We start from the raw sequence: 14300 nt of genomic DNA on the forward strand, positions 1-14300 counted from the left end.
ATTGAATCTGTAAATTACCTTGGGCAGTATGGCCATTTTCACGATATTGATTCTTCTTACCCATGAGCATGGAATGTTCTTCCATTTGTTTGTATCCTCTTTTATTTCATTGAGCAGTGGTTTGTAGTTCTCCTTGAAGAGGTCCTTCATGTCCCTTGTAAGTTGGATTCCTAGGTATTTTATTCTCTTTGAAGCAATTGTGAATGGGAGTTCACTGACGATTTGGCTCTCTGTTTGTCTGTTATTGGTGTATAAGAATGCTTGTGATTTTTGCACATTGATTTTGTATCCTGAGACTTTGCTGAAGTTGCTTATCAGCTTAAGGAGATTTTGGGCTGTGACAGTGGGGTTTTCTAGATATACAATCATGTCATCTGCAAAACTAACTCATTTTATGAGGCCAGCATCATCCTGATACCAAAGCCGGGCAGAGACACAACCAAAAAAGAGAATGTAAGACCAATATCCTTGATGAACATTGATGCAAAAATCCTCAATAAAATACTGGCAAACCGAATCCAGCAGCACATCAAAAAGCTTATCCACCATGATGAAGTGGGCATCATCCCTGGGATGCAAGGTTGGTTCAATATATGCAAATCAATAAATGTAATCCAGCGTATAAACAGAACCAAAGACAACAACCACATGATTATCTCAATACATACAGAAAAGGCCTTTGACAAAATTCAACAACCCTTCAGTCTAAAAACTCTCAATAAATTAGGGATTGATGGGACGTATCTCAAAATAATAAGAGCTATCTATGACAAACCCACAGCCAATATCATACTGAATGGGCAAAAACTGGAAGCATTCCCTTTGAAAACTGGCACAAGACAGGGATGCCCTCTCTCACCACTCCTATTCAACATAGTGTTGGAAGTTCTGGCCAGGGCAATTAGGCAGGAGAAGGAAATAAAGGGTATTCAATTAGGAAAAGAGGAAGTCAAATGTTTTGTATTTTTTAGTAGGGTTTCACCGTGTTAGCCAGGATGGTCTCGATCTCCTGACCTCGTGATCCGCCTGCCTGGCCCTCCCAAAGTGCTGGGATTACAGGCGTGCGCCACCACGCCTGGCCCCTACTTATTATATTTTTATTGATTCTTTTAATTTTTTCTTCAGTTTTTTGGGAATTTTCTATTATTCACTTCTAATTTTTTTATGCCTTAATTTTTTTGGAACACATCCATCTTTTCTCCTAAGATTTTATCATGTGCTTTCCTGAAAGTTTAAAGAAAACCAGCTTCATTTCATCTGAAATAATACAAAAAAATTAAAAGTTTACCCCTACCGCAGATAGTAGGGAAATATTGAGCCAAAATATAACTTTAATATTTAAATTATCAATAATTCATACCTAATTTAAAAGATAGCTTTTTCACCAAGGTTTCTTGCATGTTAAATTTATTTTTTGACTTTGTTCATGTTATTCTAGTTTAAAAATTTTAATGATTTCTGCATGCCAAACATTTTTACTTTTTATTATGAAGTTCACTTATCTTTCTGCCTATGTAATTGTTGGATAATATTTTCACATTAAAAGCTCAAACTTTTACAAACTTATATGTTACTGTATCTCCATGAAAATTTTGTGTAAGATTAGAATATTCAATTAATAACCTCATTTAGCTGAATAAAGTTTTATTTTTTTCATTTCTTTGATTACTGTTTCTCTTCTACCTGCCTTTTTCTGTTCTGGGATTCCTATTACATGAATGCTGGATTTCTTATATTAGTCTTCCACGTTTCTCATACTAAGAGAACGATTTTGTTATCCTTATTCATTTTTTTAATTCCAGGAAAATAATACTGAGCTGATCATATAATGGCTACATTTTCAAATTGTTGCTTATTTTTTCTGTGGCATATTTATTCCTGCCTTTTATCTTGAAGTAATCCATTTTTCATTTGTGAATCCTGGCTTTAGGTCATAGATAAATATTTTTAGTGCTATAAATTGGAGAATTTCTAGATTTTCACTGGCTTATTTGAAGAAATCTTATTTGTAAGGGAATATTTCTACTTCATTTTCTCAACTGACCTCATCTAACTTGATACATAATTTTATACATCAAGCAATTTTTGCTTGTTTGCTTTCATTTTATATTTTCTGTATATTATGATATATATCATATATACATCACATAAATAGTCATATATACAGGATTTTGGAATTGTGAAAACTGAGCTGACTTTCAGATTGTGTGAGCTTTTGCTCCTTTCATGTACAGATTACAGACATGTTCTGAAAAAAGGAGAACCCTTGCTGATGACTGGAAATGCAAACTGAAAAATGGTGAGAAAGGGAGAAGAGAGAGGGAATAAGATCTGCAGCCCTCTACATAATAATGAGGAGGGGATATTCTGTACCCAAGGAAGTTTTGGCAATATCTAAGGATATTTTGATTGTCAAAACTGGAGGGAAGCCACTGGCATCTAGTAGATAGAAGCCTAGGATGCTACTAAACCTCCTACAACTCACAGAATAGCTCTCCACAACAATGAATTAGCCAGTCTAAAGTGTCAATAGTGTTGAGCTTGGGAAATTGTTGCTTACAGATTTATAGAAATGAAAAGGAACCCATGCTTAAGGAAAGGAAGGGAGCAAAGTAGTCAAGAAAAGGTATGAGAGAGCGGAGGTAAGATCATTGCAACAACAACAACAAAAAGATTAGATACTGGGAATAGCATAGAAGTGCCCTGACATAAAATAAAACATGATCCTTCTTTCATCTCCCCAAGAACTTTTAGCAAAAAATATATGTCATTCAGCTTACTTTGAGTGTTGCATTTCTGTTATTTGTGTATTTGCTTTTTCAACAATATTCTAAGAATGATTCCCCAGCAGGCAAAGCAGAAATTATCAAAAGATCACTGTAACATTATCATTACATTTATAATTATTGTAGTTGTACTTAGCCATATTGAAAGTTTCGTACCCTTTGAGAAATACCTGGGGTGAAATAGCTAGCTGATATAACAAGTAAACTAAATATTGTTCATATCTGTGATGGTTAACATTGCGTGTCCACTTGATTGGATTGAAGGAGGCAAAGTATTGTTCCTGGGTGTGTCTGTGAGGGTGTTGCCGAAGGAGATTAACATTTGAGTCAGTGGACTGAAAGACACAGACCCTCAATCTGGGTGGGCACCATCTAAAATCAGCTGCTAGCATAAAAGCAGGCATGGAAAGAGCAGACTTGCTGAGTCTTCTGGCCTTCATCTTTCTCCCATGATGGATGTTTCTTACCTTCAAACATCAGACTCCAAGTTCTTCAGCTTTTGGACTCTTGGACTTTCACCAGTGATTTGCCAGGGGCACTCAGGCCTTCAGCCACAGACTGAAGTCTGCACTATCAGCTTCCCTACTTTTGAGGTTTTGGGACTGGGACTGGTTTCCTGGCTCTTCAGCTTACAGACGGCCTATTGTGGGACTTCACCTTGAGATTGTGTGAGTCATTTCTCCTAATAAACTCCCCTTCATATGTTCATCTATCCCGTTAATTCTGTCTCTTTAGAGAACTGTGACTAATAAAATATCTTAGCCCAAAGTAAGTGAATTTCTATTTAGGGCTCATACAAGTGTTACTGGTCAGCAAGAGGCTTTCGTTCTGTGATAATTTAGAGACTTTGGATCCATCAATTTTTGGTCCTACCATTCCAGAGTCTTCTGCCTCTGGTCAGCACATGAAAGATAACAGAGTGAAAGGGGCTCTAAGGGCTTGTTTAGAGGTTCTAGCAAGTGAGCACAGCTACACATGTACCTTTGACTGAAGAACAATTCTCTTCTATCAGAGAAGATTGTCTTCTTCAACTGACTGCACAGTCTGGGGAGGGATGCACATGGATTTGTGAGGAAGGAAGAAGGCAACCAAAAGAGACCTCAAATAGACAAAGCAATCGTGAGCAAAAAGAACAAAGCTGGAGGAATCAAAATTTCTAACCACAAAATATGATATAAAGCTGGAGTAACCAAAAGAGTATGGTACTGGCCTAAGACACATAGACCAATGGAAAAGAACTGAGAAACCAGAAATACATTCACACATTTATGTTCAACTAATTTTTGACAAAGTTGCCAGGAGTGCACAATGGGAAAAAAACAATCTCTTCAACAAATGGTGTTAAAACAACTGGATATCCACATCCAGAAGAATGAACTTAAACCCTTATCTCATGCCACATACAAAACGCAACTCAAAATGATTAAAGGCTTAAACATAAGGCCTAAACTGTAAAACTACTAGAAGAAAATATAGGAGAAAATCTCCTTGACATTGGTCTGGGCAATGATTTTTTGAATATGAATCTGAAAGCACAAACAACAAAGGCAAAAATAGACAAATGGAATTACAGCAACAAGAAAACCTTCTGCACAGCAAAGAAAACCATCAACAGAGTGAAGAGGCAAAATATGGAATAGGAGAAAATCTTTCTAAACCATACATTTGATAAGGGGTTAGTATCCAAAATATATAAAAAACTCAAACAACTCAAAAGTAAGAAAAAACACAATTAGAAATCAGCAAGTGATCTAAATAGATATTTCTCACAAGAAGACATATAAATGGCCAACAGGTATAGGAAAAAATGTTCAATATAACTAATAATTAGAAAAATGCAAATTAAAATCACAATGAGATATCACCTCACACCTGTTAGAATGGCTATTGCAAAAAAAAAAAAAAGTGTTGGAGAGGATGTGGATAAAAGGGAACTCTAGTACACTGTTAGTGGGAATATAAATTGGTACAGCCATTATGGTAAACAGCATGGACATTCCTCAAAAAATTAAAAATAGAACTATCATGATTTAGCAATTTCATCTCTGGCCTTTTACCAGGGTAACTGCGCATTGAGGAAAGGGAAATGATCAGACATTTCACGGACTACTGGACACTGGCTCTGAGCTGATGTTGATTCCAGGGGACCCAAAACGTCATTGTGGTCCTCCAGTTAAAGCAGAGGATTATGGAAGTCAGGTCATTAATGGAGTTTTAGCTCAGGTCCAACTTACAGTGGGTCCTGTGGGTCCCCAGACTCATCCTGTCATTTCCCCAGTGCCAGAATGCATAATTAGCATGGACATACTGAGCAGCTGAAAGACCCCCACACTGGCTCCCTGACTGGTAGGGTAAGGATCATTATGGTGGGAAAGGCTAAATGGAAGCCATAGTAAATAGTAAATCTATTTAAAAAAATATATATTTTATACATATATAATAAAATAAAACAATGTAGAATCCCTGGAGGGACTGCGAGATTAGTGCCACCATCAACGACTTGAAGGATGCAGGGGTGGTGATTCCCACCACATCCTCATTCAACTCTCCCATTTAGCCTGTGCAGAAGACAGATGGATCTTGGGGAATGACAGTGGATTATCATAAGCTTAACCATGTAGTGATTCCTATTGCAGCTGCTGTACCAGATGTGGTTTCATTGCATGAGCAAATTGACACATCTCCTGATACCTGGTATCTAGCCATTCACTTGGCAAATGGCTTTTTCTCCATTGCTGTCCATAAGGCCCACAGAAGCAATTTGCCTTCAGTTGGCAAGGCCAGCAATATATCTTTGCTTTCCTACCTCAGTGGTATATCAACTCTCTGGCTTTGTGTCATAATCTTATTTGGAGAGAACTTGATCGCTTTTTGCTTCCACCAGATATCACACTGGTTGGTTACATTGATGACATTATGCTGATTGGATCCAGTGAGCAAGAAGTAGCAGACACACTGGACTTATTGGTGAGATATTTGTGTGCCAGAGTATAGGAAATTAATCAGACTAAAATTCAGGGACCTTCTACCTTAGTAAAATGTCTAGGGGTCCAGTGGTGTGGGGCTTGTCGAGATAGTCCTTCTAAGGTGAAGGATAAGTTGCTGCATTTGCTCCCTCCTACAACCAAGAAAGAGGCACAGCACCCAGTGGCCCTGTTTGGATTTTGGAGGCAACACATTCCTCATTTGGGTGTGTTACTCCGGCCCGTTTATCTAGTGACCCAAAAGGCTGCCAGTTTCGAATGTGATCCAGAACAGGAGAAGGCTCTGCAACAGGTCCAGGCTGCTGTTCAAGCTGCTCTGCAACTTGGGCCATATGACCCAGCAGATGCAATAGTGCTTGTGGTGTCAGTGGCAGGAGGATTTTAATAATCAAGTGGATAGAATGACCCATTCTGTGGACACCACTCAGCCTCTTTCCCCAGCCACCCCTGTCATCACCCAATGAGCCTATGAACAAAGTGGCCATCATGGCAGGGATTCAGGTTATATCTGGGCCTAGCAACATGACTTCCACTCACTAAGGCTGACCTGGCTACAGGTACTGCTGAGTGCCCAATTTGCCAGCAGCAGAGACCAACAATGAGCCTTCGATATGGCACCATTCCTCAGGGCGATCAGCCAGCTACCTGGTGGAAGGTTGATTATATTGGACCTCTTCCATCAAGGAAAGGGCAGAGGTTTGTCCTCACTGGAATAGACACTTACTCTGGATATGGGTTTGCCTGTCCTGCATGCAATGCTTCTGCCAAGACTACCATCCATGAACTCACGGAATGCCTTATTCACCATCATGGTATTCCACACAGCATTGCCTCTGACCAAGGCACTCACTTTATGGCCTTCATGACTAATTCATATTTCTAAAGGAAAGTGAAGAATGACTGATACCACTTTCAATTTTATCCATTATCTATTTTAGCTTCTGATAATGTTCAGATTAATCACCTCATTGCTGTATTCTGCATTTTGCATGATTGAGATTTCACATTAAGAAGGCCAAAGGACTCTAGTTCTGTGAATATTAATGACTAGGTTGGCTTGTTAAATTATTTTTGCCAAGTTACCTTTGGCTTTTAATAACCATTAACAGTAGAAACAGTGGTCATATACTTTTCAGATAGAGTTTTCTGTAACCTTCTCCTGGGGAATAAGAGTAACTGAGAAAAACTATCATATGGGATGAGAAGAACTTTTTGAAAGCAAAGGAAGAAGGTCATATTGTCTACTTCAGTTCAAAAACAAAATTTTCAGCCCAAGTATCCTTAATGGCAGAGAGGAGTTAAACATAGACTGGAGGAACTGAGAACGGAAGCCCAAAGCTGATTTTTCCAAGATTTAATTGGCTTTATTTTTTCTGTGAAAGTTGTAAAACAATCCTGAGGTAAATTTACAAAATTCAAAAAGCACACATGCACAATTAGTGGCCCACAACTAACAGATCCATATATATTATCCTAATCTTGTTTCTGCATGTAAGTACATATTTTTAATTAATTAATTCATTCATTATTAAGAGCTACCTCTGTTCAATCTAGATCAGCAGCTCTCAACCAGGGCACCTTTGCCTTCATAGGACATTTGCAAATATCTGGATAAGTTTTTGCCTACTGATACCTAGTGTGTAGAGGCCGGGGATAGTACAGAACATCCTACAATAACAAGACATCCTCTCACATCAAAAAATTATCCATCCCCAAATGTCACTAGTGCTGATGTGTAGAAACTTTAATGTAGATGCTAGGAATTCAGTGGTTTATAAAACAAAGTTGCTGCTTTTATGAAGCTTTTCTCTGTTTGAGTAGTAAACAAATACGTAAAATGGAGGCAAAACATGGGACTTATGGGAACTACAAGATGAAATTTGCATCGGGACACAGAGCCAAACCATATCAGACAGCTGAATTAGAAGCTGGGATTCAATATTGTGATTATTCAGGTCAGTTTTTTTTTTTTTTTTTGCCACCAAATCTAGAGTTTTTATTTTCCTGTTCTATTGTTCAAGAAATACCCCAGAGGGCTGTCCAACTACTTCATTAGTAAAGACACCATGATCAACTAGCAACTGCCAAATAACTCTCCAGGCCAAAGCACTCTGATTACTGCTATGTGCCTGCTTCCCTTTCCAGTAGACATACCCCTCTTGTATTTTGTGGTTAAGCCTGGCCTCTGCTACTCCTGGATTTCATCAACTCCATTGAAATCAGGGAACCCTTCTCAGTGGTAGGAATCTTAGGATCATACCTGACTTACTAAAAGTACACAATTTGAGGTGCTTAGGAAGCTCTTGGCCGCTAGTTGCTGCTAGACACAGTGCAGTGCAGGAGCCTGGCCAGAGCAACACATCAAAACCAGAAAGTAAGTTGTCCTCTTCAAGTGTCCCTCTAGCGCCATCTACTGATAGTTTACATTGTCCTGGCTGTCAAAGAAGGAATATTTACAGGGTCCAAATTCTTCATCATAGAAAAGACAACTTGAAGCTAAGGGGCAATAAATTGATAACTAGCATACCTTCTACTGTAAAAGTTTAACCATGACCATTTGGAGGCTTAAATGGAAGCTTCAAAGCCTTGGGGAACCAGAATTTATTTTTGCTCTGCCCTCATTGAAGATGTCTTAAGAACACAACCAAATACGAGGAAGCAAGATGGAGAAAAAGAAGCAGCATGCTCCTTTCCTTTAAAGTGGTGACTTGGAATCTGTACACGTTGCTTCCACATGTGTACCCATGTCCATAACCTAGTCACAGAGACACAACTAATAGTTACCTGGGAGGCTGCAGTCTTTAGCTGTGCAGCCAGTGACCAACTAAAATTCAAGGTTTCAATTACTATAGTAAGAATGGAGAATGGATATTGAAAACCAACTCCACTGCTATCTCAGTGACATCAAATTTGGAATGTTTATTAGACATCCAAATCTGCCTCATGCACCACCACTAAACTGAAATCATACAGTACCTGTTTTGTGATTGAACTTCTCCATTTAAAATATGTCTCATATTTCATAACGAGAAACATTTTACTGCATCCTGACACCAAATGTTGCATTAGAGTTTATTTTATTAAAAGCCTATAATGTATTCGATCAGTCCCTTACTCCTAGACATTTCTGCTGCTTCCAATTTTTAGTATAAGAATAAAGCTCTATGTATTAGATAAGACTCTGCACACATTCTTATTTTTTTCATGTACGATGTGTTCTGAAAAGCTGTATTATCCAGTCAATAAGTATATGAATTTTTAAATGTTTGGTTATGTGTTGATAAATTACTTCTCAGAACAATATAAACCCACAGTGATGCATGAGATGCCTATTTATATCTCAGAACAATATAAACCCACAGTGATGCATGAGATGCCTATAACACCCGATTTTTGTTTTATTTTTATTACTTGTCCATTTATTTGAGTCATTTGTAATTCTTCCTATCTATACTTTTGTAAAATATTTAATAAGATATGTTGTAATGTATTCTGATCAGAGATTTATACAATGTATACATAATATGACTCCATTTTAATGGGCTATATTTTTTTATGGGAAATATTGATATTTGTATATGGAAATATTGATATTCACTTTTTATCTGCACAAAGTACTTGCTTCCATATGATTCTTTTTAGTTTTCTAGCTATAAACTCACTTCATCTATAAATAGTGATTAGATTGTTGTGGCTGTAATAGTTCACATTTCTTTTTCTTTTCTTTTGTTTCAGCTGAAATATCTAAAGCACTATTAAATGCTTTAGAGGTGATACCAGTTGATCTTGTCTAGTTTCTCAGTGTAATTAGAACGCCTATACTATTTCACCACTAAGTATAATGCCATTGGTTAATACTATTACTCTGCATCATAATTGAGAAGCGTCTTTCTGTTACCAATGTATCAAGATTCAATCATCCAGACAATAGTTTATCCTACAGGACTGTGGCATCAGCAGTGTTCTAGTTAACTTCAGGAGACATACATATAACAAAGTCTGTGAAAAATTGTAGAGATTTGGGGTTTTGTTTGCAATGCTTACTGCTCAGTGGGGAATTACAGGTAACTCATTATCTGATTTTTGGGGCTTTGAAGTTTGGCGCTTGTGACCTGACACGGGTACTCCTAAACTGATAAGGACATTAACAAAAATTAAGGTAGACCTGGAATTACAAGTCTGAAGAAACCCAATCTCCACCACATGAATAAGTCAGAAAATTTCGCTTTCCACTACTCTGATATATGTCCTGCACATCAATTGTAATTCTAATATGTAGGTGAAGGCTTTGCACATAGTAGGTACTCAATACACATTGCTGAATGAAATTGTATAACCCTGTAAAATCAATAGCAAGCTAGTTACTTCCTAGATACTATGGTGGTATAGGCGTTGGATAAATACAGCCATTCCAAATGGGAGAAACTGGCCAAAACAAAGGGGTTACAGGGCCCATTCAAGTCCAAAATCCAGTGGGGCAGTCAAATTTTAAATCTCCAAAGTGATCTCCTTTGAATCCAGGTCTCACATCCAGGTCACGCTGATGCAAGAGGTGGGTTCCCATGGTCTTAGGCAGCTCCACCCCTGTGGCTTTGCAGGGTACGGTCTCACTCCTGACAGCTTTCATGGGCTGGCGTTGAGTGTCTGCGGCTTTTCCAGGTGCACAGTACGAGCTGTGGGTGGATCTAGCATTCGGAGGTCTGGAGGAGGGAGGATGGTGGCCCTCTTCTCACAGTTCCACTAGGCAGTGCCCCAGCCCTGCCCTAGCAGAGGTTCTCCATGAGGGCACTGCCCCCGCAGCAAACTTTTGCCCCAGCATCCAGGCGTTTCTATATATCTTCTGAAATCTAGGCGGAGGTTCCCAAGCCTCAATTCTTGACTTCTATGCACCTGTGGGCTCAACACCACGTGGAAGCTCCCAAGGCTTGGGGCTTCCTCCCTCTGAAGCCACAGCTCAGGCTCTTTGTTGTCCCCTTTCAGCCATGGCTGGAGCAGCTGGGACACAGAGAACCAAGTCCCTAAGCTGCACACAGCCTGGGACCCTGGGGCCGGCCCATGAAACCACTTTTTCCTTCTGGGCTTCCAGGCCTGTGATGGGAAGGACTGCTGTGAAGGTCTCTGAAATGGCCTGGAGACATTTTCCCCACGGTCTTGGGGATTAACATTAGGCTCCTTGCTACTTATGCAAATTTCTGCAGTCTGCTTGAATTTCTTCTCAAAAAATTGGTTCTTCTTTTCTACTGCATTGTCATGCTGCAAATTTTCTGAACTTTTATGTTCTGTTTCCCTTTTAAAACGGAATGCTTTTAACAGCAACCAAGTCACCTTTAGAATGCTTTGCTGCTTAGAAATTTCTTCTGCCAGATACCCTAAATCATCTCTCTCAAGTTCAAAGTCTCATAAATCTCTAGGGCAGGAGCAAAATGCCAGCCGTCTTTTTGCTAAAATATAACAAGAGTCACCTTTGCCCCAGTTCCTAAGTTCCTCATCTCCATCTGAGACCACCTCAGCCTGGACCTTATTGTTGGTATCACTATCAGCATTTTTGTCAAAGCCGTTCAACAAGTCTCTAGGAGGTTGCAAACTTTCCCATATTTTCCTGTCTTTTGAGACTTCCAAACTGTTCCAATCTCTGCCTGCTATCCAGTTCCAAAGTCACTCCCACATTTTCAGGTATCTTTTCAGCAACTCCTCTCTCTACTGATGTCAATTTACTGTATTAGTTCATTTTCACACTGCTGATAAAGACATACCCAAGACTGGGAGGAAAAAGAGGTTTTATTGGACTTAAAGTTCCACATGGCTGGGGAGGCCTCAGAATCATGGTGGGAGTCAAATGGTGCTTCTTACATGGTGGCAGCAAGAGAAAATGAGGAAGAAGCAAAAGCGGAAACCCCTGATAAACTCTTCAGATCTTGTGAGACTTATTTACTATCACGAGAATAGCACAGGGAAGACTGGCCGGCCCCCATGTTTCAATTACCTTCCCCTGGGTCCCTCCCACAACACATGGGAATTCTGGGAGATAGAATTCAAGTTGAGATTTGGGTGGGAACACAGCCAAACTACATGAAATGGCAAAAGAATAAACTAATAGAATAGGAAAAAAATAGCTTACAGTTTTATGAAAGACAGTGAATTAATATTTTTGCTTTGTAAAAAGAATTTTCTAAATAAAATTTAAAATGGAATATCTCAATATAAAAGTGAGGCAAGGCCTGAAATATTGAATCACAAAAGAAATATAGATGACTAACAGGCATTTTGGAAAAAAAAGCTTGAGCTTAACAGAAAAAATGAATTGTTAAAAGATACCGTTATTCTCAAATTGTATAACAGCAAACTTTTAAAAGTGATCATCTTCAATGATTTCAGAACTGCCATGGTATGCAAATTAGAAAGCAAACTGGTATAATATTTTGGAGATGATTAAGATACATATGCATTGCAATATTTTGTATACTAATTTCACATCTAGAATTAACAATAAGTTATTCATATTGGTGTTTGTGTGACTATCTAGAGGGATAATCACAGAAATTTTGTATCATTGTTAAATTGAAAATAACATAAATATCCAATCACATAGAAAGTTCATTCATTAATTTAGCCAGTGTTTGATTTGCCAATATGTTCCAGACAATGTGTTAGGGGTTCTAAGAAGAATGATTTTTTTTTTTAAGTAATTATTCTATGCTGGATGTGTTAAATGGGTTATATATAGTGTATACTACTTTCTTCTACTTAAAGTACCACCAAATGGTATATTTCAGTTGTTTTGATTTTACTGATGAATAAACTGAAGTAAAAGAGTTTACATAACTTGTGCAAAATGTTAGAGTACATGGAAGTACCTGAAAATGAGTCCAAAAGTTGTAATTCGTGCTTTTAAGCAATAAAACTTACTAGTATTAATCAAATGGCATTCGTTTGCTATTTATTACACATTTCTGAGACTTTCATAAATATTATATTTATGTAATAGCTTAATAAAGTAAATACAAGTATTATGCTAGTTTATCAGGTTAGGACATCATTGTACTAGAAGGACAGAGTAACTTATCTAAGTTCCTCACATAGAAGGTAGAAACCAGGATTAAAAATAGGTAGTCTTAAATCAAAGAATAAACTACTGACTTATAATTTTAGGGAAAATATTTCATTAAAACATTCTTGCTGAAAATGATTTTTAAAACTTTATCTCTTACTTGATAAATTATATTAGAAAAATTACAATTGATAATATAATATAAACTTTTTAAACCAAACAACATAGCAACAGATAATTAGACATACTATTTGTAAAATATAGAAATTTATAAGAGTGGAGACCAGCAAATATAAAGAGGAAAGAATAAAATATTGAAATAAATATTTTAGAAGGCATTTTCTAGGAAAGATCGGTGTCTTCAACTTAAAAGAGCATTTGAAGTACCAGATAATATTAAATAAAGACACACTGACCAAATAAAATGTGATTTTATTTTTTAAATTTTCAAAATAAAAATATTTATATTCACTCAGATTAAAAAATATATAGCTTACAAATATAAAAATTACACATTTAATTCTGCCTTACTTTCCCAAATACTAAATATTGAAAGATAACATTTTCAATATTTTCATAGTTTAGCATAAATTAACACTCAGTCAAATTATAGTTAATATGTAAATTTTATAGAAAGATATGATGGGCTATTAGTTGAAACAAATAAACCACAAAACATACTACCTTTTCTGGAAAGTAAATTCTTAAATAAATAGTCCAACCAATCAAGAAAATTAAAAGAATCAAACACAAACCAAAAATAAGGAAGACATATTCAATTAAAAGCTAATATTGATGAAAAAATACAATTAAGGTTTGCATTTAAAGAATTAACGTTAACTTTTTACTAAATAATATATATATATATATTTTTTTTTTCTGAGACAGAGTGTCACTCTGTCACCCAGGCTGAGTGCAGTGGCACGATCTTGCTCACTGCAACCTTCACCTCCTGGGCTCAAGCGATTCTCCTGTCGCAGCCTCCTGAGTAGCTGGGATTACAGGCATGCACCACCACGCCCGGCTAATTTTTGTATTTTTATTAAAGATGGCATTTTGCCATGTTTTTCAGGCTGGTCACGAACTCCTAACCTCAAGTGATTTGCCCACCTTGGCCTCCTAAAGTGCTGGGATTACAGGCGTGAGCCACCATGCCCGGCCTAAATAATAAATTATACTAAGAAATTCTTGAATGAGAAACATATCAAGCTGTATGAAACAATTAATAAACGGGATCTGAAATCACAGATCATTTCAGTGATTTGGAATTCAGTATTGTTGAGAAAAATTGAAGATTTACTGCATTTTCTATCTTCCTCAGAAAGATTCTAGCTCAATAGAAAAAAAATTGCAAAATAAAAATTCATAAAGATAAAAAGAAATATTTGTAAAAAAAATCAAGAATCACACACAGAAAGAATAATGTAGAGAAATGTTCTAAAAAGTAAATATGAAGACACATTACATATATAAGCAAATTAA

At 37.2% G+C, this 14300-nt stretch overlaps 1 pseudogene, besides 1 other annotated feature; it reads right to left on the bottom strand.

The window, feature by feature from the left end:
- On the bottom strand, positions 3629-3894 carry RN7SKP164 (RN7SK pseudogene 164; annotated as a pseudogene).
- Positions 10580-11208: an enhancer, noted in NCBI's record as "H3K4me1 hESC enhancer chr2:76829490-76830118 (GRCh37/hg19 assembly coordinates)". NCBI's record gives its function as "activates a minimal SCP1, AML or CMV promoter by ChIP-STARR-seq in primed H9 embryonic stem cells {active_cell/tissue: H9 hESC(primed)}" and the evidence as "EXISTENCE:reporter gene assay evidence [ECO:0000049][PMID:30033119]".

Source organism: Homo sapiens, chromosome 2, assembly GCF_000001405.40.
Source record: "Homo sapiens chromosome 2, GRCh38.p14 Primary Assembly".
Classification (NCBI taxonomy): Eukaryota; Metazoa; Chordata; class Mammalia; order Primates; family Hominidae; genus Homo; species Homo sapiens.